We start from the raw sequence: 27,088 nt of genomic DNA, 5'->3' as shown, positions 1-27,088 counted from the left end.
CCTCCGCTCTGGCTTTCAAGAATGAGAGGGTTGATCCTACCTGATTTTTGAGCTTTATCATTAGCTATCCTTTACTCATAATATCTGTACTTTCTAGCAAAACTTGACTATTAAGGATCAATATATGTGAAGTTAAGGATGCAATGTATAGTTCAGTACCTTGTATCTAATTGTCACTCATTCATTATATGTTGAAGAAAAGTAATTTGTTGTTTATTTTACATTTTGTCCTTTCAAACTCATTAGAATAACGTGAGCATACCTATTTCAATGTTTGTGTAATTTGTATAGTTGCAAATTACACTGTTATTAAGTAGAACTTTGTAAGATGGTCTGTATAAGAATTTAAAATTGTTTCTTCACTTAAAAATGTTTTCAGTGGCAGGCCTCTAAATCACTTCTTTCTAAGGCCTGTGGATTTTTTATACACACTGGATTATTATCCATTTTGAGGTAAATATTGAAAGAAAAGACCAATAATTCCTTCATTTTTTTTTTGTTCCATGCCTTACCACTGGTTCATGTTATTATATAAAGACTGTTGTTAGATTTCTTTCTTTCTTTCTTTCTTTTTTGATATGGAGTCTTGTTCTGTCACCCAGGCTGGAGTGCAGTGGCACGATCTTGGCTCACTGCAACCTCTGGCTCCTGGGTTCCAGCAATTCTCCTGCCTCTGCCTCCCGAGTAGCTGGGATTACAGGCACCTGCCACCACGCCTGGCTATTTTTTCTTTTTTTTTTTTAGTAGAGATGGGGTTTCACCATATTGGCTAGGCTGGTCTCGAACTCCCAACTTCAGGTGATCCGCCTTCCTCAGCCTCCCAAAGTGCTAGGATCACAGGCGTGAACCACCACGCCCAGCCTGACTGTTGTTAGATTTCTTATTTTTGTAATGTGCCCTAGAATTAACTTGATCTGAACCTTACCTTCTTTGTTTTTTTAAAGGTAAATGAAATTGCCTTTATAAATACCCTTGAAGCCCAGAATAAACGTCATGATGTTTTATCAAAATTGAAGGAATATGAACAGAGGCTTAATGAGCTACAGGAAGAGCGTCAGAGAAGACAGGAAGAAAAGCAAGCACGTGATGAAGCTGTGCAGGTAGGATTTTTTTATTCAGCAAACATTGCTTGAGCACCTGTCATATTTGTAGGGTCCAGCCCCGCAGGGTCGGTGGGTTTTTCTCCCCATGTGCGGAGATGGGAGATTGTAGAAATAAAGACATAAGACAAAGAAATAAAAGACAGCTGGGCCTGGGGGGACCACTACCACCAAGACGTGGAGACCGGTAGTGGCCCTGAATGCCAGGCTGTGCTGATATTTATTGGATACAAGACAAACGGGCAGGGTAAGGCGTGTGAGCCATCTCCAATGATACGTAAGGTCAAGTGGGTCACATGTCCACTGGACAGGAGGCCCTTCCCTGCCTGGCAGCTGAGGCAGAGAGAGAGAGGAGAGAGAGAGACAGCTTACGCCATTATTTCTGCATATCAGAGACTTTTAGTACTTTCACTAATTTGCTACTGCTTTCTAAAAGGCAGAGCCAAGTGTACAGGATGGAACATGAAAGTGGACTAGGAGCGTGACCACTGAAGCACAGCATCACAGGGAGACGGTTAGGCCTCAGGATAACTGCGGGCACAAGAGGTGGAGGAGTAGAGTCTTCTCTAAACTCCCCGGGGGAAAGGGAGAGTCCCTTTCCCGGTCTGCTAAGTAGTGGGTGTTTTTCCTTGACACTGATGCTACCGCTAGACCACGGTCCGCTTGGCAATGAGCATCTTCCCAGACGCTGGCGTTACCACTAGACCAAGCAGCCCTCTGGTGGCCCTGTCTGGGCATAACAGAAGGCTCTCACTCTTGTCTTCTGGTCACTTCTCACTATGTCCCCTCAGCTCCTATCTCTGTATGGCCTGGTTTTTCCTAGGTTATGATTGTAGAGCAAGGATTATTATAATATTGGAATAAAGAGTAATTGCTACAAACTAATGATTAATGATATTCATATATAATCATATCTGTGATCTATATCTAGTATAACTATTCTTATTTTGTATATTTTATTATACTGGAACAGCTCATGCCCTCGGTCTCTTGCCTTGGCACCTGGGTGGCTTGCCGCCCACACATATTTTAGATTTAAAGCTAGTTGCTGAGGACCCCAAATGGAGTAACCTAGTGTTTGTTCCCAAAGGTGCATGGTTCAATATGGCACTCTAGAAACATAAAGTCTATTTTCTAAAAGATAGTGTGTTCTCTTTCAGTTACGGTCATCAGTTCTTTCATCAGCAGACTGTAATCATAGCAATAGAATCATCAGCTTCAACTAGGTGAAGTACATGAGTAGTAGTGTATATTTTTAAATAGACATCTTTGGTTCCTTACTCTGCATTTTGCAGATTTGAAATATAACAGTTATCTTTCGTTTAAAAATGATGACTCTCACTTCACAATTTTTAACATTCATTAAAACTTAAAGGAAAACAGTTTACTAAACTAGTAGGGAATTTCCTCCACCAACCAACACTTTAAGAATTGTTTTGGCTCTTTAGAATTATTTTTGTTTTTAAAAGTGCTGAAGTTTCCTATGGATTTAATTTCAGTGAAAGATTTTAAACCTGTCTACATATGCTTGAGATATACTGAGATAGATAGTCAGAAAAATCCACTGGTAGATAACATGTATAACATTAAAATTTTAAAAATGTGTAATCATTACTTGCTGTACAGGCACTAGTGCCAAGTATTCTGTAAATACAATAATGGTAAGATCCTAACCTAATACAGAATTTCAGAGACCCTCCATCCATTTTATTTTTACTCTTGAAGCATTCTCATGGACTATTAAAGGCAATTGTGATTCTCATTTCTTGTAAGTAAAATACCAAGTGCTGCCATCATATATTCTCAGTTTGCTGTTATTGGTATGTATATTCTTTATTGATTAATTATAAGCTCAATTTTTTCTTTTTTACTTATCCTGCTTTGTCCTTTTGTCCTAATCATTTGAATTGTAGGCATAAAGAGGAGCTACAGAATCCTTTCTTAGGCTGCCTTAAACACCTCCCTGGCTGAGATATGAAGGGGTCTGAGAGGTTCTTCTGTAGGCTTAAGAATTAGTTATATTTCTAATTCCTTTGCTGTAAGTTTTAATTCTTTCCTTGTGGCTATATAGATTCATAGTGTATATTATTTTATAAAGTCATGCTTCATTTATTAAACAGATATTTAGAAATCCCTACCCTTTGCAGGGTGCTTTATGAGGTACAAAGTTTCCTGTCTTTCGGGAATTTAAATTTCAGATTGGGAAATGGTAGCTGAATTTTACTCATTAGCTGTATGGCTACCAGTTCTCTTTTCAAGTTATTAAAAATGGAAATTAATAGGTTGAGTAACTTTTTACGTCCAGTTATCTCTTTTCATACAATGTTGGAGTTGGTCTGATATCCATTAAAACAGTCAGCAAGTTGACATTATGTTTACAAGTGTACACTTGGCTACATTGCACATACCTGCAGTAATTATTTTTACATAATACATATTTTATAAGATCAGTTTAGGATTTAAAAAATTACATTCCTCAAGCCTTTGGTCTTATATTAATAAAATATGAAATGAAAAATTCTGCTTTAATTATTTATATTTAATGCCTAAGCTCTTTGTATTTTGTTGTGAAACATGTGTTTTCAGATATAATATGGAATTTTTAAACTTCAGAAAAATTGGACTATAAGAGGAATTTTTTTATTCACTTTTTTTTTAATGGAGAAAATTTTCTGTGCCAGATTTGATTGTTTTTACTCTTAAGAGTTTTTGATTTTTTTTGGCTAACCAAGTTTCCACATATTATTCTTGATTAGTCATGAGAAATAGCTACAACTATTTCATGAATAGTATGCTCAGACAGTAAAGGATATATTTTAAAATCTAATTGCATGACTCCAACAGTCTGCAGTGTGCCTGTTATGTCCTCCTCAAATAAGGGCATTCCCTCCAATTCCCAGTTTACCCTCTTCTTATACCACCTACCCCCTCAAAAAAAAAAGAAAGAAATAGAGATCCTTTTGGCTATTTTTAAAAGGCTTTCTTTCCCTGGGGCAGATAGAGCTTGTTGTGGAGATGAAGTTACTATTGTGCGCTCAGTTAACTATTAGAAATGTTCAAATCTCTCTTTTGTGTTCCCTGAACAGAAATTGCTTTGTTATTTTTTTTCTGCTATCTTTTACTGAGCCCTTACTATGGCTAAACTCTATGCTGAGAACTTACCTGTAATTAATAATTTACATCTCACAATCAACTGAGGCTCTTTAAGGTGAAGTACTTTGCCCAAGGTTATGTAAGTAGTAGGTACTAGAGCCTAGATCAATGTATTCCATTAATTATAGAGGAGAGGCTACCGAGAGGTTGTGAGTGCTATCTGGGGAATGGGTATGGATTCAGAGAAACATATCAATAAGATGAGGAACATGTTAGTGACAAATATTTCATGTTGAAGTTACCCAGTTTTCATGATTTATCTTCTGGCTTGATGATGATGATGATGATAATTATTTAGAATTTTATATATGCCAGGCCCTATGGTAAGTGCTTTTCATATATTAGCTCATCTGTGCTTTATAATATCCTAAGAAATACATATTATTATTTATCTTCTAGAAAAGTAAGGCACAGAGAATGTAACTAAGTAGCCCAGAGCCACTGTGCTAGTGAATAATGGGGTCAGGAAACAAAACCAGGGAATCTGACCCGATATCCACTCTTACACCCACTGTGCTCTATTGTATTACCTCTTTCTCCTTCTCACAAACTGTCTTTACTTAATTCCATCATGAAAGCTTAGTTCAGAAATAAAATCTATTAACTATGGTTTTTTCATCATATTCAGGTGTTTCTATAACCATATATTAACACAAGGCTTTAGAAGTGATTAATCAGAAAACATATATTAAGTTCTGTATTAGTCAGAGTTCTCTAGAGGTACAGAACTAATAGGATATATATGTATATGTGTGTGTGTGTGTGTGTGTGTGTGTGTGTATGTGTATATATATGTGTGTGTGTGTATATATATATAAAACATATATATATATGAGTTTATTAAGTATTAACTCACACAATCACAAGGTCCCACAACAGAGTGTCTACAAGCTGAGGAGTAAGGAGAGCCAGTCCGAGTTCCAAAACTGAAGAACTTGGAGTCTGATGTTTGAGGGCAGGAAGCATCCAGCACGGCTGAAGGATGTAGGCTGGTAGGCTAGGCCAGTCTCTCTTTTCATATTTTTCTGCCTGCTTTATATTCTAGCCTCGCTGGCAGCTGATTAACCATCACAAGTTCCCACAAAACAAGTATAACACAGTGTTTGTATAAAAAAGCAAGTCTTTACTGAATTATGTGTAACACTGGTAAATGACTTTCAGAAACCAGATATCATTGCTATTTGATTTTTGTTTAAACTTTAAGAAGCAGAGTACCTAGTGGCAAGCCCATGTTTCTACTTGGCTTGAACATGTAAGTTTGGTGAAAGGTATATTACTTTGAATCATTTTTATTTTACACATAATTCTAATATTGGAAACAAATATTTCTAACATTAGGAACGCAAGAGAGCTCTAGAGGCAGAGCGGCAGGCCCGTGTAGAAGAATTGTTAATGAAGAGGAAAGAACAAGAAGCCCGAATTGAACAACAGAGGCAAGAAAAGGAAAAAGCCCGTGAGGATGCAGCCCGGGAAAGAGCTAGGTATCTCATTTGCTATCTTGATGAACATTTTGCACTGAGTGAATATTCAAGTTGAGGTCTTAAAGCCATTTACTGTCATGTAGAGTTTTTTTGAGATGAGGTTTTGCGATGTTCCCCAGGTTGATCTTGAACTCTCTGACTCAAGTGATCCTCCCACCTCACCCTCCTGAGTAGCTTGGACTACAGGTGTGTACCACCACACTCAAATCAAAAAATATATAATTTGATTCTGGATGGCTTCAGCAAAAGAGACTTTTGGGGAAGATACTGAGGGCATAATTAGTAAAAGGTTAGAGGACCAAGTTTGGAAATGTTCTGTCAGACATGAAAGTCTAGATCACAAGAGTCACAGCAGTGGATTTTTTTTTTTTTTTTTTTGATGGAAATAGTCTGGTCAGCATGTTGCCACTCTGATTATGATGTATGACCTTCAATTATCCCTTAGTTTTAATCACTTGTTTAAGATTTAAAGACACAGGAAAAAACATATAATTGGCCAAGCCTAAGTCCCTTTTATTGGTGTGACCTTACTGACGTGATATTTTGTGACTTCTGAATTATAGCGAAGTTGGTAGATGTGAAAAGATAGCTCTTTGTGGTTTTAATTTGCTTTTCTACTTGTCCCTGATTAATAATAAGGCTGAACAACTTTTTCACATGTTTATGAGCTGTTCAGGGTTTTTTTATGCAAAGTGCCTATTCAAATTTTTGTTCATTCCTGTATTGGGGTCTTTTTTTTCTTATTGATGTTTAGGGATTATCTTTACTAGATACTAAGTCTTTGTTAGTTACATATATTGCAAATATACCTATAGGTTGTGTCTTACCTTTTTTCTTTCTTTATGATGTTTTTTGATTAGCATAACTCTTGGTTGCAGTTTAGTAGAACTGAACAAACTATAATTTATGCCTTTTGGTCTTATTTATGAAATCTTTTTCTATCCTAAGTCATAAGACATTCTTCAAAATTTTATAGTTTTATCTTTTATAGTCTTTATCTATCTGCAATTGGTTTTATTGTGTATTTAGAGGTAGGAGTCTTACTTCATTTTCTCCATGTGGATACCCAATTATTCTAGCATACTTTATTGAAAAATGCATTTTTTCCCTACTGATCTGCAAGGCTTTCTAACATAAGCCAAGTTTTTATATATGTGTGGGTCTGCTCGTGGACTGTTGTGTTCTGGTCCAGTGATGAATTTGTTTGTCATCTGCCTTAGTTATCAAAGCTTTATAATAATTGTTGGTGTCTGGAACTATCCTTCACCTTATTTTTTATTAGGACTGTCCTGGCCCTATTTCATGTCTGTGTTAGTTTTAGAATCAGCTTGCTCAGTTCTATATTTAAAAATAAACTATAAAATTTTGATTGGAATTGCATTGAATCTATAAATTCAGGTGTTAAGATTGATATTTTTATGTTGAATATTTTAATTTATGAGCATGCTACTAAATGTTTTTCTACTGATTTAGGTCTTTCAGAACATCTTTATATCCTTTCATCAAACTTACATGTTCAAGCCAAGTAGAAATTTTTTTTTCTATAAAGGATTTTTGTATGCTTTTCTATTGTGGCAAAAAATATAAATAGCATGAAATTTATCATTTTAATCATTTTTAAGTTTACAGTCCAGTGGCCTTGAGTACATTGATATTTTTATGAAACTATCACCACCATCTGTACCCAGAAATTTTTTCAGTTTCCGAGACTGAAGTGTTCTATCTACTAAGTAGTAACTCCCTATTCTCTCCATTCCATACCCCCACTTGCCTCTGACAATCGTCATGCTACTTTCTGTTTCTATGAATGTGACTGCTTTAGGGATCTTATATAAGTGGAATCATACGGTATTTGTCCTTTTGTGACTTATCCTAATGTCTTCAAGTTTCATCCATGTTGTAGCATGTGTCAGGATTTTCTTCCTTTTTAAGACTGAATAGTATTTCATTGTATGTATAATACCACATTTTATTTATTCATTTCTTTGTTGAAGCAACTTGAGTTGCTTCTACCTTTTGACTATTGTGAATAATGCTGCTATAAACACGGGTGTTACAAATGTATGTTTTAGTCTCTGCTTTTTAATTCCAAGAGTGAAGTGGTTGGATCATATACTAATTTTATTGGTTTTTTTTTGAAGAGAACCCTACTGTTTTTCATAGCAGCTGTACCATTTTTATGTTCTCAGCAGCATTGCACAAGGGTTCCACATCCTCACCAATGCTTGTTATTTTGTTTTTCTAAAAATAGCCTTATTGAAGAGTGTGAAGTGGCATCTCATTCTGGTTTTGATTTGCATTTCCCTAGTGATTAGTGACCTTAAGCATCTTTTCATGTGCTTATTGGCCATTTCTTTATATTTTTGGGGACAGGTTACCACTTAGGTCCTTTGCCTATTTTTTAATCTGGTTATTTTCTTGTTGGGTTATAGAGTTTTTTATATATATATATATATATATATATATATATTCTAGACATTAACCCTTTATCAAAGATAGAATTTACTGATATTTTCTCCCATTCTGTAGGTTGACTTTTCATTTTGTTGATATTGTCTATTGAAGAACAAAAGTTTTAAATTTGGACATAGTTCAATTTCTCTATTTTTGTTGTTGTTGTTTTTGTTGCCTTTACTTTTTTTTTGTCATATTCAATAAATCATAGCCAAATCCAATGTTGTGAAGTTTTCTCCCTGGATTTTCTTGTAACATTTTTATACTTTTAGGTCTTATGTTTAGATCTTGGATAGTTTTAGTTAATTTTTGTATATCGTATAAGGTAAGGGTTCAACTTCATTCTTTTGCACATACTCAGTTTTCCCATCACTTCTTGTTGAAAAGACTGTCCTTTCTCTATTGAATGGTTTTGTCATCTTTGTTGAAATTATTTGACTTACATACAATGGCTGTATTTCTTGGCTCACTGTTCTGTTTCATTGGACTATATACATGTCTGTTTTTATGGTAGTCCATACTGTTTTGATTACTGTAGTTTTGTAGTAAGTTTTGAAATCAGGATATGTGAGCCTCTTTGTTCTTTTCAAGATTGTTTTGGCTTGAGGATCCTTTGAGATTCATGTGCATTTTTTAATTTTTGTAAAAAAGAAGTCATTGGGATTTTGATAGGGATTGCATTCAATCTATAGATTGTTTTGGGAAGTATGGCTTTTTTTTTTTAATGTATACACTAAGAGAGAGAATTCAGGGTGGGCTGCTTGTAAAGGATGAGGCAGCCAATATGGCCATCTTAATTTAACAGTGTTGAGTTTTTCAGTCCATGAAAACATGATGTCTTTCCATTTATTTGTGTCTTCAGTTCCTTTCAACAATGTTTTGTAGTTTTCATTGCATCTGTTTTTCTCATCTTGTTATGTTTATTCCTAAGTATTTTATTTTTTGTACACATTTTATGATATTTTTTAGTTACTATTTTATCCTGTTATACAATTATAAATAGAATCTCTTAAGTGCTTTTAAAATTTGTATGTTGCTGGTGTTTAGAAATACCATTTATTGGGGGGTGGAGAGAAGATGACCGAATAGGAACAGCTCCAGTCTACAGCTCCCAGTGTGAGCAACGCAGAAGATGGGTGATTTCTGCATTTCCAACTGAGGAATGCAGCTCCTCACCAGCAACAGAACAAAGCTGGACGGAGAATGACTTTGACGCGTTGAGAGAAGAAGGCTTCAGAACAGCGGACTACTCTGAGCTAAAGGAGGAAGTTCGAACCAATGGCAAAGAAGTTAAAAACTTTGAAAAAAAATTAGACGAATGGATAACTAGAATAACCAATGCAGAGAAGTCCTTAAAGGACCTGATAGAGCTGAAAACCATGGCACGAGAACTACGTGACAAATGCACAAGACTCAGTAACTAATGTGATCAACGGGAAGAAAGGGTATCAGTGATGGAAGACGAAATGAATGAAATGAAGCGTGAAGAGAAGTTTAGAGAAAAAAGAATAAAAAGAAACACACAAAGCCTCCAAGAAATATGGGACTATGTGAAAAGACCAAATCTACGTCTCATTGGTGTACCTGAAAGTGACAGGGAGAATGGAAGCAAGTTGGAAAACACTCTGCAGGATATTATCCAGCAGAACTTCCCCAATCCAGCAAGGCAGGCCAACATTCAAATTCAGGAAATACAGAGAATGCCACAAAGATACTCCTTGAGAAGAGCAACTCCAAGACACATAATTGTCAGATTCACCGAAGTTGAAATGAAGGAAAAAATGTTAAGGGCAGCCAGAGAGAAAGGTTGGGTTAGCCACAAAGGGAAGCCCATCAGACTAACAGCTGATCTCTCGGCAGAAACTCTATAAGCCAGAAGAGAATGGGGGCCAATATTCAACATTCTTAAAGAAAAGAATTTTCAACCCAGTATTTCATATCCAGCCAAACTAAGCTTCATAAGTGAAGGAGAAATAAGTCTTTGCTTTACAAACAAGCAAAGACTGAGAGATTTTGTCACTACCAGGCCTGCCCTAAAAGAGCTCCTGAAGGAAGCACTAAACATGGAAAGGAACAACCGGTACCACCCACTGCAAAAACATGTCAAATTGTAAAGACCATCAAGGCTAGGAAGAAACTGCATCAACTAATGAGCAAAATAACCAGCTAACATTATAATGACAGGATCAAATTCACACGTAACAATACTAACCTTAAATGTAAATGGGCTAAATGCTCCAATTAAAAGTCACAGACTGGCAAATTGGATAGAGTCAAGACCCATCAGTGTGCTGTATTCAGGAACCCCATCTCATGTGCAGAGGCACACATAGGCTCACAAAAAAGGGATGAAGGAAGATCTACCAGGCAAATGGAAAACAATAAAAGGCAGGGGTTGCAATCCTAGTCTCTGATAAAACAGACTTTAAACCAACAAAGATCAAAAGAGACAAGGCCATTACATAATGGTAAAGGGATCAATTCAACAAGAACTAACTATCCTAAATATACATGCACCCAATACAGGAGCACCCAGATTCATAAAGCAAGTCCTTAGAGACCTACAAAGAGACTTAGACTTCCACACAATAATAATGGGAGACTTTAACACCCCACTGTCAACATTAGACAGATCAATGAGACAGAAAGTTAACAAGGATATCCAGGAATTGAACTCAGCTCTGCACCAAGCAGACCTAATAGACATCTACAGAACTCTCCACCCCAAATCAACACAATATACATTCTTTTCAGCACACCACACCACACCTATTCCAAAATTGACCACATAGTTGGAAGTAAAACACTCCTCAGCAAATGTAAAAGAAGAGAAATTATAACAAACTGTCTCTCAGACCACAGTGCAATCAAACTAGAACTCAGGATTAAGAAACTCACTCAAAACTGCTAAACTTCATGGAAACTGAACAACCGGCTCCTGAATGACTACTGGGTAAATAATGAAATGAAGGCAGAAATAAAGATGTTCTTTGAAACCAACGAGAACAAAGACACAACATACCAAAATCTCTGGGACACATTCAAAGCAGTGTGTAGAGGGAAATTTATAGCCCTAAATACCCACAAGAGAAAGCAGGAAAGATCTAAAATTGACACCCTAACATCACAATTAAAAGAACCAGAGAAGCAAGAGCAAACACATTCAAAAGCTAGCAGAAGGCAAGAAATAACTAAGATCAGAGCAGAACTGAAGGAAATAGAGACACAAAAAAACCCTTCAAAAAATCAATGAATCCAGGAGCCTGTTTTTTTAAAAGATCAGCAAAATCGATAGACTGCTAGCAAGACTAATAAAGAAGAAAAGAGAGAAGAATCAAATAGGCATAATAAAAAATGACAAAGGAGATATCACCACCGATCCCACAGAAATACAAACTACCATCAGAGAATACTATAAACACCTCTATGCAAATAAACTAGAAAATCTAGAAGAAATGGATAAATTCCTTGACACATACACCCTCCCAAGACTTAACCAGGAAGAAGTTGAATCTCTGAATAGACCAATAACAGGCTCTGAAATTGAGGCAATAATTAATAGCTTACCAACCAAAGAAAGTCCAGGACCAGACGGATTCACAGCCGAATTCTACCAGAGGTACAAGGAGGAGCTGGTACCATTCCTTCTGAAACTATTGCAATCAATAGAAAAAGAGGGAATCCTCTCTAACTCATTTTATGAGGCCAGCATCATCCTGATACCAAAGCCTAGGAGAGACACAACCAAAAAAGAGAATTTTAGACCAATATCCTTGATGAACATTGATGCAAAAATCCTCAATAAAATACTGGCAAACCGAATCCAGCAACACATCGAAAAGCTTATCCACCATGATCAAGTGGGCTTCATCCCTGGGATGCAAGGCTGGTTCAACATACGCAAATCAATAAACGTAATCCAGCATATAAACAGAACCAAAGACAAAAACCACATGATTATCTCAATAGATGCAGAAAAGGCCTTTGACAAAATTCAACAACCCTTCATGCTAAAAATTCTCAATAAATTAGGTATTGATGGGACAAATCTCAAAATAATAAGAGCTATCTATTGAAAACCCACAGCCAAAATCATAGTGAATGGACAAAAACCGGAAGCATTCCCTTTGAAAACTGGCACAAGACAGGGATGCCCTCTCTCACCACTCCTATTCAACATAGTGTTGGAAGTTCTGGCCAGGGCAGTCAGACAGGAGAAGGAAATAAAGGGCATTCAATTAGGAAAAGGGGAAGTCAAATTGTCCCTGTTTGCCGATGACATGATTGTATATCTAGAAAACCCCATCGTCTCAGCCCAAAATCTCCTTAAGCTGATAAGCAACTTCAGCAAAGTCTCAGGATACAAAATCAGTGTACAAAAATCACAAGCATTCTTATACACCAATAACAGACAAACAGAGAGCCAAATCATGAGTGAACTCCCATTCACAATTGCTTCAAAGAGAATAAAATACCTAGGAATCCACCTTACAAGGGACGTGAAGGACCTCTTCAAGGAGAACTACAAACCACTGCTCAATGAAATAAAAGAGGACACAAACAAATGGAAGAACATTCCATGCTCATGGGTAGGAAGAATCAATATCGTGAAAATGGCCATACTGCCCAAGGTAATTTATAGATTCAATGCCATCCCCATCAAGCTGCCAATGACTTTCTTCACAGAATTGGAAAAAACTACTTTAAAGTTCATATGGAACCAAAAAAGAGCCCGCATCGCCAAGTCAATCCTAAGCCAAAAGAACAAAGCTGGAGGCATCACACTACCTGACTTCAAACTATACTACAAGGCTACAGTAACCAAAACAGCATGGTACTGGTACCAAAACAGAGTTATAGACCAATGGAACAGAACAGAGCCCTCAGAAATAATGCCGCATATCTACAACTACCTGATCTTTGACAAACCTGAGAAAAAGAAGCAATGGGGAAAGGATTCCCTATTTAATAAAAGGTGCTGGGCAAACTGGCTAGCCATATGTAGAAAGCTGAAACTGGATCCCTTCCTTACACCTTATACAAAAATTAATTCAAGATGGATTAAAGACTTAAAGGTTAGACCTAAAACCATAAAAACCCTAGAAGAAAACCTAGGCATTACCATTCAGGACATAGGCATGGGCAAGGACTTCATGTCTAAAACACCAAAAGCAATGGCAACAAAAGCCAAAATTGACAAATGGGATCTAATTAAACTAAAGACCTTCTGCACAGCAAAAGAAACCACCATCAGAGTGAACAGGCAACCTACAGAATGGGAGAAAATTTTTGCAACCTACTCATCTGACAAAGGGCTAATATCCAGAATCTACAATGAACTCAAACAAATTTACAGGAAAAAAACAACCCCATCAAAAAGTGGGCAAAGGATATGAACAGACACTTCTCAAAAGAAGACATTTATGCAGCCAAGAACCACATGAAAAAGTGCTCATCATCACTCTCCATCAGAGAAATGCAAATCAAAACCACAATGAGATACCATCTCACACCAGTTAGAATGGCGATCATTAAAAAGTCAGGAAACAGCAGGTGCTGGAGAGGATGTGGAGAAATAGGAACACTTTTACACTGTTGGTGGGACTGTAAACTAGTTCAACCATTGTGGAAGTCAGTGTGGTGATTCCTCAGGGATCTAGAACTAGAAATACCATTTGACCCAGTCGTCCCATTACTGGGTATATACCCAAAGGATTATAAATCATGCTGCTATAAAGACACATTCACATGTATGTTTATTGTGGCACTATCCACAATAGCAAAGACTTGGAACCAACCCAAATGTCCAACAATGATAGACTGGATTAAGAAAATGTGGCACATATACACCATGGAATACTATGCAGCCATAAAAAATGATGAGTTCATGTCCTTTGTAGGGACAGAATGAAGCTGTAAACCATCATTCTCAGCAAACTATCGCAAGGACAAAAAACCGAACACCACATGTTCTCACTCATAGGTGGGAATTGAATAATGAGAACGCATGGACACAGGAAGGGGAACATCACACACTGGGGACTGTTGTGGGGTGGGGGGAGGGGGGAAGTATAGCATTAGGAGATATACCTAATGCTAAATGATGAGTTAATGGGTGCAGCACACCAACATGGCACATGTATACATATGTAACAAACCTGCACGTTGTGCACATGTACCCTAAAACTTAAAGTGTAATAATAATTAAAAAAAAAAAGAAATACCATTTATTTTGTTTCAGCAACCACAATAAATTCTGTTAAGCATTCTAATAATTAATCTTAGATTTTTTTTAGCGTTTTCTACGTAAATAAACATATAATCTACCAATATATAGTTGGGATTTTTTTCCTCATCTTTATGCCTTTTGTTTCGTTAGTGGGCATCTTATTTATAAGGAATGGGTTCCACAATTAACTATTAAAGATATCTGCCTTAGGTTTTTTAAAAAATAGTTTTTATTTGTTGTTTATTTAAGGTATACATCATAATGTTGTAGTGTACATATAGATAGTAAAAGGTTTACTATAGTGAAGCGAACTAACATATCTATCTTCTCACATAGTTACCCATTTTATTTGTTTTAGTGGCAAGGGCAACTAAAATCTCATTTATCACAAATCCCAGTACTGTACAATTTTATTACCTATAGCCCTCCTGTTGTACATTAGATCTCTAGACTTGTTCATCTTACATATCTGCAGTTTTGTATCCTCTGATCTACGTCTCCTCTTTTCTGCCCTCTCCCTCTTATGCACACCCGTGATAACTAATACCTTGTTTTCTATCTCTGTATAATTGAATTTTTTTTAAGATTTCACATATAAGTGAGATCATGCAATATTTTTCTTTCCATGTGTGGCTCATTTTACTTAGGATATTGTTCTCTAGGCTCATCCATATTGTGGCAAATGACAATGTCTTGTTCCTTTTAGGGCTAAATGGTATGTATACTACAGTTTCTTTATCATTGTTTCTTTGATGGACACTTAGTTTCCTTTCATATCTTGGCTATTATGAATAATGCCATAGGAAACATGGAAGTGCAAATATCTTTATGAGGTGGTGATTCCATTTCCTTTGGGTATATTGCCAGAAGAGGGATCAGCTGGGTCCTATGGTAGTTCTATTTTAAATTTCTTTAGAAACCTCCATCCTGTTTTCCAGATGGCTGTACCAAGCCACACTCTCAACAACAGTGTAAAAGAGTTCCCTTTTCTCCATACCCTCACCAACATTTGTTTTTTGACCTTTTGATAATAGTCATCTAATGGGTGTGAGTTAGTATTTCATAATGGTTTTAATGTTCATTTCTCTGATGATTAATGGTGTACATCACCTTTCCATATATCTACTGACTATGACTTCTTTGGAGAAATGTCTATGGCGATTCTTTACCCATTTTAAAATCAGTTTGTTTTTCTACTATTGAGTTGTATGAGGTTTTTTTAAATATATATATTTTTCTTGTTTTTTGTTTTTGTTTTTTTTTTCCTTTTTGAGACAGAATCTTGTTCTCTTGTCCAGGCTGGAGTGAAGTGGCATGATTTTGGCTCACTGCAGCCTCCACTTCCCAGGTTCAAGTGATTCTTGTGCTTCAGCCACCCGAGTAGCTGGGATTATAGGTGTGTGCCACCATGCGTGGCTGATTTTCGAACTCCTGACCTCAAGTGATCCGCCCGCTTTTGCCTCCCAAAGTGCTGGGATTACAGGCATGAGCCACCGTGGCTAGCCTAGTTCTTTATATTTTGGATATTAACTCTCTATTAGATATATGGACTAAATATTTTGCCCCATTCCTTAGGCTGATGTTTTATTGATTTTTTTCTTTGCTATGCAGAAACTATAAACTTCCCTCTTACAACTGCTTTTGCTGCAACCCATAGATTTTGCTGTGTTGCGTTTCTATTGTTGTTTGTCCCAAGATATTTTTTAATTTCCTTTTTGATTTCTTCTTTAACTCATGACTTATTTTGGAGCATGTTATTTAATTGCCATTTATTTATGAAATTTTCAGGATTCATTTTATTGATTTCTAGTTTTATATCATAGTGATCTGAAACAACAATAGGTACAATTTGAATCTTCTTAAATTTGTTAAGACGACTTGTTTTGTGGTTTAACATATGGCCTATCCTGGATAATGATCCATGTGGACTAGAAAAAAATGTATTGCTTTTGATGGGATGTTCTGCCTATGTATATTAGGTCCATTTGGTCAAAGTACAATTAAGTCTAGTATTTATTTTCTCTCTAGTTTATCTATTGTTGACAGTGGGGTATTGAAGTCCCTTATATTATTATATTGCTATCTATTTCTCCCTTCATGTCCATTAATATTTGCTTTATAGTTTTAGTGCTCCAATGTTAGGTGCATATATATTTACAATTGTTACATCCCATTGATGAACTGACCCCTTTATCATTAAATAATGATCTCTTTATTATTTGTATATTTGCTATAGTTTTTTGTTTTGTGGTTACTATGAGCTTATCCAAACATCTTATACTGTTACACTTAACAACTGTTAAGTTGTTATCAGCTGTTTTAAGTTGATAACAATTTCTGGCACATACAAAAACTAGACTTTTACTGTCCATCCCACAAGTTACGTTTTTGATGTCAAAATATTCATCTTTTTATATTATGTATTCCTTAAAAACTTATTGTAACTTTTGTTGTTTTTGACTATTTTGACTTTAGCCTTCATAATAGAGATACGTGTGGTTTACATACCACACTTACAGTTTCGAAGTATTCTGATTTGACTAAGTATTTATCTCTACCAGTGAGTCTTATACTTTATGTGTATCCATGGTGGTAATTATTATAATTTTCTTTCTCCTCGAAGAAGCATTTCATGTAACACAGGTCTAGTGTCAGTGAATTCCTTCAACTTTTATTTGTCTGGGGAAGACTTTATTTCTCCTTCATTTCTGAAGGATAGTTTTCCTTGGTATAGTATTCTTAGCCGGCAGGTTTTTTTTTTTTTTTTTTCCCTTTCATCATTTTGAATATGTCATCCCATTCTCCAGGCTTGTAAGGTTTCTGCAGAAAAGTCCAATGATACTCTGATGGACATCCCCTTATATGTGACTAGACAGTTTTCTCTTGCTGTTTTTAAAACTATTTCATTGTCTTTTCACTTTTGCCAGTTTGATTATAGTGTACCTTGGAGAGAACCTTCTAAAGTTTATCTGAGATCTTTGAGCTTCATTGACTTGTATGTAGATCTCTCTCTCTTCCTAAGTCCCAAGATTTAGGAAGTTTTTACCAATTATTTTATTTATATAAACCTTTTCTGTTTCTTCCCCCTTTGGGATTCCTACAATGTGAATATTTGTTTGCTTAGTGGTGTCCCATAGGCTCTCTTCATTCTTTTTTCTTTTTCTTCTCTTCTGAGTCATTTCAGAAACCTTCAAGGTTCTTTCTTCTGCTTGATCTAGTCTGCTGTTGAACCCTCTGTGGTATTTTTTATTTCATTGAATTCTTCAGCTCTTAAGATTTTTATTGAGATTTTTTAAATGATATCTCCTTTATTGAATTTCTCATTCAGATCATGATTTATTTTTCTAATTTCATTGAATGGTCTGTTTTTATTCTCTTATGTTTCACTGAGTTTCCTTTGTTCATTATTTTGAATTCCTTTTTAGAAAATTTGTAGATTTCTGTTTCTTTGGGGTCAGTTACTGGAGAGTTATTGTGTTCCTTTTAGTGGTTTCATATTTCCTTGCTTTTTCATGTTTCTTGTGACCCTGCCATGATGTTTGTACATCTGATAGTGCAGTCATATCTTTCCAACTTTACAGAGTGGGAAGGGGATGACTTTCACTTGAAGATGGGCCTGAGGGTACCGCTTGGGTGTAGGACACAGTGGCTCTGCTTCTGTGTGGGTGCAATGGTGTAGTTATCATGCAGCTTCTTAGTTGTGATCAGTGTCAGTGAAGACTGTGAGTGCCTTAGTGGTCTGGGCTGTAGGAGTCTGTGTCAGTGATGTTGGCTGCTGAGGTTATTAGGGCAAAGGTTGTAGGGGTCTTCCTGTTCTTGTCTTCCCCAAAGTAGGGAATCTTCATTGAGGGGATCTCTTTTGGTATCAGGTCTGACATTGTTCACAGGCAGCCACAGCAGCACTGGGTTTTAGGGCACAGGAGCTCAGAGCAGCTGTGGAGCCAAGTTTCTGGGCTTAGGGTCTTGTGAAACTACTGTAGCACCTGGGACTTCAGGCACAGGTTCACTTTCCAAGGCATGAGTGGATTCAGTTCTCCCACTACACAGTGTTTGTTTCTGTGGGGCATACCCTAGCAGCTTGGGCCCAGGGGGCTGGGATGTAGGCATGCTTCTGACCTTGGGGGGCAGGGTGAGGCACTGGCATGATTCTGGGGAAGAAGGGGTCTCTGGAGACTCAGTCCCTGGTGAGCAGTGAACAGTTGCCATTTGGGATCCAGAACCAACTGGGTAACATGGTAGCTCAGGCTGTGGGTGATGAGGAGCATGTGGTGGTCACTTGGGACCCTGACTTGGTATAATAGCCCAGGCTCTATGAGGCTGGGTCCAGTGGCAACAAGGAGCCAGGAATGGCAAGATACAGCTGTATCTTGGGCCCTGTGGGGTAGGGAACAATGCAGCAATAACCACTCCTTGGAGAGGTAGGGTACCTCAGCAGATTGAAATGTAGGGGGACTAGTCCAGTTCTAGGCAGATGGGGCACTGTGTCTCTTTGGCCTAGAACACAGGGTTTCACAGCTCAGCCGAGCTTCTGAATCCCTGGAAGGCAAGTTGCCATATCTGGTCAGCCCCAGAAGGCATAGCTACTTGGGTCAGTAGAGCCTTTGGATCCCTGGGCCGGGGTGGGGGTACTGCATCAGCTGTGGTGCTGGGGGTGCAATTACTTTGGTGTGCCAGAGGCTCAGAGCTCCTGGAAGTGTGAGGTGCTGTCTCACCAGTAGTATTGGCGGGGGTGTATGTGGTCTGGGGGAGGTATCAACTGTTTCTGTGTGCCAGAGGCCTGAGGTCTCCAATGAGTGGGATGCCACTTCTGTTCAGTTTAAGAGGAGGGTGCGCTAACAACTAGAATTCAACACCTCTGTAGTAGCTTGGCCGTTTGTGGTAGGGTATAGCAGCAGTTCAGCTGGGGGATGTCATGCTGCTGGGTGGATGTTGAGTTTTTCAAGTGCTTTTTATGTGTTTTTTTTAATATGGAAATAATTCTATAAAATTTCTCCTTTAATCCGTTAATGTGGTAATTAGTTGATTGATTTTTCTAATGTTAAATCAGGCTTGCATTTCTGGGATAAGCTCCACTTCAATTTGATGTATTTTCGCAATTTACCGATATAAATTATTGTTGGATGTGGTTAACTAATTTTCAAGGTTTTTAACCTGAGGAGTAAGCCATATATTTTTAAAAACAGTAAACATTTTTTATGAATTATAACAAACAAAAATACACAAATCTAAGTGTACATCTTGATGAATTGTCATCTCACCCATGTGACTACCTGGCCAAGAAAGAGAACATCATCAGCTCCCCAAAAGCCCCTTTTATGTCCCTCCAAATCACTACTACTACTACTGCTACTACTACTACTACTACTACTACTACTACCACTACTACTACTAGAATGGTAATCACATTTTTTACACTGTAGTCTAGTATATGCCTAGGAATGGAATTGCTGGGGCCCAGGGCATGCAAATATTCAACTTAAGTAGATACCACCAAATTGTTTAGTAATGTAATGGTTTCTGTATTCAGATGCTCCACAACCTTGCTTGAAATTGAAATTAACAGTTAAATTTTTTTTCACAACTTTATTGTGGTATAACTGAGCACTTACTAAAGTGTACAATTTGATGAGTTTTCACATATGTAACCATTGTGAAACTATCTGCACAATCAAGATAATATATCCATCACCACCCCGCCCAAATATTTCATGCTGCTTGGTAATCCATTTCTCTTTTCTCTATCCTCAGCCCAACACAGCCACTGATTTACTTTCTCTCTTGTCTGTCATCTTTTACTCTGCACTATTTTTTTGAGATTCCTCCATGTTGTGTGTATCTGTGGCTTGCTCTTTTAAAAAAAAAATTGCTGAGTAGTATTTGTGTATATGTCATGCAAATTACAGTCCTTTTACCTCTTTGAGACATTTGGATTATCTCCAGTTTTTTTGGCTATTACAGATAAAGCTGATATGGATGTTTGCATATGAGTCTTTTTGTGGCCATTCACTTTTGCTTCTCTTGAGTAAATAACTAGGAGAGGAATGGCTGGGTTGTAGAGTAGATGTATATCAAACTTTTTAGGAAACTTAAAACTATTTTTTCTTTACTTTTTTTAAAATTTATTTTATTATTATTATACTTTAAGTTTTAGGGTACATGTGCACAATGTGCAGGTTAGTTACATATGTATACATGTGCCATGCTGGTGTGCTGCACCCACTAACTCGTCATTTAGCATTAGGTATATCTCCTAATGCTATCCCTCCCCTCTCCCCCCACCCCACAACAGTCCCCAGAGTGTGATGTTCCCCTTCCTGTGTCCATGTGTTCTCATTGTTCATTTCCCACCTATGAGTAAGAACATGCGGTGTTTGGTTTTTTGTCCTTGCGATAGTTTGCTGAGAATGATGATTTCCAATTTCATCCATGTCCCTACAAAGGACATGAACTCATCATTTTTTATGGCTGCATAGTATTCCATGGTGTATATGTGCCACATTTTCTTAGTCCAGTCTATCAATGTTGGACATTTGGGTTGGTTCCAAGTCTTTGCTATTGTGAATAGTGCCGCAATAAACATATGTGTGCATGTGTCTTTATAGCAGCATGATTTATAGTCCTTTGGGTATATACTCAGTAATGGGATGGCTGGGTCAAATGGTATTTCTAGTTCTAGATGCCTGAGGAATCGCCACACTGACTTCCACAATGGTTGAACTAGTTTACAGTCCCACCAACAGTGTAAAAGTGTTCCTATTTCTCCACATCCTCTCCAGCACCTGTTGTTTCCTGTATTGATGGTACGTATCTCAAAATAATAAGAGCTATCTATGACAAACCCACAGCCAATATCATACTGAATGGGCAAAAACTGGAAGCATTCCCTTTGAAAACTGGCACAAGACAGGGATGCCCTCTCTCACCACTCCTATTCAACATAGTGTTGGAAGTTCTGGCCAGGGCAGTCAGACTGGAGAAGGAAATAAAGGGCATTCAATTAGGAAAAGAGGAAATCAAATTGTCCCTGTTTGCAGATGACATGATTGTATATCTAGAAAACCCCATCGTCTCAGCCCAAAATCTCCTTAAGCTGATAAGCAACTTCAGCAAAGTCTCAGGATACAAAATCAATGTACAAAAATCACAAGCATTCTTATACACCAATAACAGACAAACAGAGAGCAAAATCATGAGTGAACTCCCATTCACAATTGCTTCAAAGAGAATAAAATACCTAGGAATCCAACTTACAAGGGATGTGAAGGACCTCTTCAAGGAGAACTGCAAACCACTGCTCAATGAAATAAAAGAGGATACAAACAAATGGAAGAACATTCCATGCTCATGGGTAGGAAGAATCAATATCGTGAAAATGGCCATACTGCCCAAGGTAATTTATAGATTCAGTGCCATCCCCATCAAGCTACCGATGACTTTCTTCACAGAATTGGAAAAAACTACTTTAAAGTTCATATGGAACCAAAAAAGAGCCCGCATCGCCAAGTCAATCCTAAGCCAAAAGAACAAAGCTGGAGGCATCACACTACCTGACTTCAAACTATACTACAAGGCTATGATAACCAAAACAGCATGGTACTGGTACCACAACAGAGATATAGATCAATGGAACAGAACAGAGCCCTCATAAATAACGCCGCATATCTACAACTACCTGATCTTTGACAAACCTGAGAAAAAGAAGCAATGGGGAAAGGATTCCCTATTTAATAAAAGGTGCTGGGAAAACTGTCTAGCCATATGTAGAAAGCTGAAACTGGATCCCTTCCTTACACCTTATACAAAAATTAATTCAAGATGGATTAAGGACTTAAATATCAGACCTAAAACCATAAAAACCCTAGAAGAAAACCTAGGCATTACCATTCAGGACATAGGCATGGGCAAGGACTTCATGTCTAAAACACCAAAAGCAATGGCAACAAAAGCCAAAATTGACAAATGGGATCTAATTAAACTAAAGACCTTCTGCACAGCAAAAGAAACTGCCATCAGAGTGAACAGGCAACCTACAGAATGGGAGAAAATTTTTGCAACCTACTCATCTGACAAAGGGCTAATATCCAGAATCTACAATGAACTCAAACAAATTTACAGGAAAAAAACAAACAACCCCATCAAAAAATGGGGGGAGGATATGAACAGACACTTCTCAAAAGAAGACATTTATGCGGCCAAAAACCACATGAAAAAGTGCTCATCATCACTGGCCATCAAAGAAATGCAAATCAAAACCACAATGAGATACCATCTCACACCAGTTAGAATGGCAATCATTAAAAACTATTTTTTCATAGTGTTTGTTCATTTTACATAGCCATCAGCAGCACATGAGAGTTTCAGTTCCTTCACAACCCTTGACACCATTTGGTGGATCAGTTTTTTAAATATACAAGTTCTTTCTTGTTGGTGTGTGGTCGTATTTCATTATTTTAATTTTCATTTCTCTAATGACTGGTGCTGTTGAACATGTTGTCAGTGTGCTTATTAGCTGTTCATATGTCTTCTCTGGTGAAATGTCAAAGCTTGTGCTCATTTTTCATTTGGGTCATTTTGTTAATGAGTTGTAAGAATTCTTTATATGTTCTGGATATACATTCTTTGTGAAGTGTATGACTTACAATCTATGGCTTATCTTTTCAGATTTTAAATAGTGTCTTTGAAGAATGTGAGTTTTTAATTTTGATGATGTCCAGTATATCAAATTTTCATTTTATATACAATGGTTTTCATATCTAAGAAATTGTTGCCTAACACAAAAAGAAACCACAAAAAGTTTCTTCTGTGTTTACTTCAAGAAATGTTTCAGTTAGCACTTAGCATTTAGTTCTGTAATTCTTTTTAACTTTTGTAAATTTATTTGTTTGCATATAGATATCTAGTTATAACATTGTTTATTGAAAAGGTTATCCTTTCCCCACTGAACTGCCTTACCATCTGTTAAAGATCAATTGATCATTGATGCAATGATATATTCTAGACTCCATTCTGTTATATTGATATCTATATGTCTGTTCTTGTGACAGTACTACAGTTTTAATTACTGTAGTTTTATAGCATATTTTGAAATTAGTATAAATACTCCAACTTCTTTGTTCTTTTTCAAAGTTGCCTTTCCATATAAATTTTAGGTTCAGCTTATCAGTTTCTGCAGGATTCTGATAGGAAGTGCATTGAATCTATAGGTCAGTTTAGGGAGATTGACATCTTTACAATATTTTATATTACAATCCATGAATATGATGTTTCTCTCTGTTTAGATCTCCTTTAATTTCTGACAACAAGGTTTTGTAGTTTTTTGCGTATAGGTCTTGCAGTTCTTTTTAAAATTTATTTCTAAGTACTCTTTAAAGCTGCTGTAAATGGAATTGTTTTCTTTGGTTCATTTTTGGATTTTTCTTGCTAGTATGTAGAAATACAGTAGATTTTAATTTATTTCATTCTACAACTCTGTTTTTAATGACCTTGTTAAACTTTCTTACAGATGTTCCTCAACTTATGATGGAGTTAAGTCCTTATAAACTCATCATAAACTCAAAAAGCCATAAGTTGAACGATTATAAGTTGGGGACTGTCTGTATTAGTTTGGATAGGTTTTTTATTATTATTATTTTGGTTCTTTAGTACTTTTTATACATAAAGGCTTATGGCATCTGTGAATAAAGTTTGTTTTACTTCTTTATTTCTAATGTGGATGCCTTTAATTTCTTTGTTTTCTTTTTGCCCTCTTGCACTGGATTGCTCCTTCTATGTAATGTTCAATGGAAGTTGTGATGTTGGGTGTCCTTGTTTTGTTCTCAATCTTAGTGGGAAAGCGTTCGATCTTTCACTACTATGTGTGATACTTGCTGTAGATTTTTGATAAAGTCTCTTCATAGATTGAGGAAGTTTCTTTCTGTTTCTAGTTTGTTGAGAGCCTTTAACATGAATGGACTTTGAATTTGGTGAAATCCATCTTTTTGTGGGTCCATTAAGATGACTGTGGGTTTTACTCTTTATTAATATGGTATGTTACATTAATTTTTGGATATTAAGATAACCTTGCATTCTTGGGTTAATTCCCACTTTGTCATGATATACAATAGTTTTTATTTGTTGGTGGCTTCTTGCCAAGGGCATGTTCATGAGGGGTATTTATCTGTAGTTTTCTTGTGATGTTTTTGTCTGGCTTTTGTGTTATGGCAATTCTGGCCTTACAGAATGTTTCCTGCTCTATTTGAGAAATCATTTGCATAAGATAGGTATTATTTCTTTCTAAATGTTTGGGGGAATTTACCAGTAAAGCCATCAGGCTTGGGTTTTTCTTTGGGGGAATATTTCAAATTACCAGTTAAGTTTTTTTCCCCTTGTTTTTGGTCTATTGAGATTTTTCACATCTTCTGGAGTCAGCTTTGATAATTAATGTCTTCCTAGGAATTTGTCTTTTTCGTCTTAAGTGATCTACTTGTTATAAAGTTCTTGGCAGAGTGCGGTGGCTCATGTCTGTAATCCCAGCACTTTGGGAGGCCAAGGCGTGTGGATCATGAGGTCAAGAGATGGAGACCATCCTGGCCAACATGGTGAAACCCCATCTCTACTAAAAATGCAAAAATTAGCTGGGCGTGCATGGTGGCACGTGCCTGTAGTCCCAGCTACTTGGGAGGCTGAGGCAGGAGAATCGCTTGAACCCTGGAGGTGGAGGTTGCAGTGAGTCGAGATTGCGCTACTGCATTCCAGCCTGGCAACAGAGCAAGACTCCATCTCATAAATAAATAAATAAAATAAAGTTGTTTGTAATTGTTTTATAAGTATTTTGAGCATGATTTATAGTGATATCTCTCCTTCACTCTTTTTTCTTTTCTTTTCTGTTGCCCAGGCTGGAGTGCAGTGGTGCGCTCTCAGCTCACCATAATCTCCCCCTACCAGGTTCAAGAGATTCTCATGCCTTGGCCTGCCAAGTAGCTGGGATGATAGGCATGTGTCACCACTCCTGGCTGATTTTTGTATTTTTAGTAGAGACAGGGTTCCACCATGTTGGCCAGGCTGGTCTTGAACTCCTGACCTCAAGTGATCTGCCTGCCTTGGCCTCCCAAAGTGCTGGGATTACAGGTGTGAGTCATCGTGCCCAGCCTCCTCTTTTCATTCTTAATTTTGGAAATTTATGTCAATTTTCTTTCTTATTAGTCTAGCTAAAGGTTTATGTATTTTGTCGCTCTTTCCAAAGAACTAACCTTTGGTTTCATTGCATTTCTATGTTGTGTTTCTGGTTTTTGCTTCATTGACTTTTGCTTTGATGTTTATCATTTATTTCCTTCTGCTTACTTTGGGTTTGATTAGCTTTGCCTTCTTTTCTTTATGAGGTTGAAGCTTAGTTGATTGATTTGAAACTATTTTTACATTTATGTATGTATTTAATCTTTTTTCTTTTTTGTTTTTTCTTTTTTTTTCCTGCCCCACCCTCCCTGCATTTCTAATATAAATATTTAAAGGTATACTTTTTTTCTTAGCATATCTTTAAGCACCTCTCATCAATTTTGATATACTGTATTTTTATTTCCATTCAAAATACATTTGGCTCTTTCTATCCAGAGGTTCCACATCTGCAGATTCAGTCAACCATGGGTCAAAAATATTCGGGAAGACAACCCCAAAACAGTGATAAGAATAATACAAATACCAAAAGTACAGTATAACAACTACTTGTATAACATTCATATTGTATTAGGTATTATAAGTAATCTAGGGATGATTTAAAATATATGGGAGAATGTTCATAGCTTTTGTGCAAATACTATGCCATTTTTTTATAAGGGATTTGAACATCCTCAGATTTTGGTATGGTGGGGGGGTGTCCTAGAACCAATCCCCCTTGGATACTGAGCGACAACTATATTTTGTAATAGTTCTTATTTGATTCATGGGCTATTTAGAAGCATGTTACTTAGTTTCCAAATATTTGGGGATATCACAAATTTCTTCCTATTGTTGATCTATAATGCAGTCGTTTGTGGTTGAAGAATGTACTTTGTATGATTTTATTGCTTTTACATTTATTGAGCTATAATTTATGATGTGGACATTACTAGTGAATGTTCTTTGTGCTCTTCGAAAGTATGTGCATTCTGCTGTTGTTGGATGGAGTGTTCTCTAAATGTCAGTTAGGTAAAGGTAATTGATATTGTTGTCTGGTCTTCTGTATACTGCTGATTTTCTCTGTAGTTCTGTAAATTCTTGAGACAAAATTATCAAAATCTCCAAATATAAGTTGAACTGTGTATTTCTTGTTTAGTTTTGACATTTTGGCTTCATGTATTTTGGTGTACTGCTAGTTTCATGTAATTTATAATTGTTTTGCCTTACTGAGGTATTGATTCATTATAAAATATTCCTCTTTAATTTTTAAAAAATATTTCTTGTATTAATGTCAAATTGTCTCTGTTGTAAATATAGCCGTATCTACTATTCACATGGTATGTCTTCTGTTCTTATATTTTCATCCTTTTTGTGTTTTTGTGTCTCAGATCTGTCTCTTGTAGGCTGTATATAGTTGGGTTTTGCTTTTCTATCTGGTTTGCTCATTTCTGCCTTTTGATTGGAATGTTTAGTCGATTCTCATTTGATGTAATTATTGGTATGACTGAATTTATGTCCGCCATTTTGATATTTGTTTTCTA

The 27,088-nt window shown here is 36.7% G+C and overlaps 1 protein-coding gene across 31 annotated transcripts in view; it reads left to right on the top strand.

The window, feature by feature from the left end:
- Nucleotides 1–27,088, top strand: part of SCAPER (S-phase cyclin A associated protein in the ER) — a 557,437-nt gene that overhangs the window by 171,012 nt on the left and 359,337 nt on the right. For 29 of the 31 annotated variants that reach the window (NR_148227.2, XR_007064448.1, XM_017022273.2 and 26 more), the window contains 2 exons: nucleotides 945–1,100; nucleotides 5,592–5,734. Coding sequence is in view for 29 of the 31 variants with exons in the window: in XM_017022273.2 (XP_016877762.1) it covers nucleotides 945–1,100; nucleotides 5,592–5,734 (299 nt within the window). In the remaining 2 variants the exon portion in view is untranslated. Of the gene's footprint in view, nucleotides 1–944; nucleotides 1,101–2,086; nucleotides 3,139–5,591; nucleotides 5,735–27,088 lie in introns of those variants that run through there. The other 2 variants (XM_047432633.1, XM_047432634.1) reach the window with 2 other exon arrangements.

This window comes from Homo sapiens, chromosome 15, assembly GCF_000001405.40.
Source record: "Homo sapiens chromosome 15, GRCh38.p14 Primary Assembly".
NCBI classification, from domain to species: Eukaryota; Metazoa; Chordata; class Mammalia; order Primates; family Hominidae; genus Homo; species Homo sapiens.
This window is presented reverse-complemented; position numbering and strand designations above follow the sequence as displayed.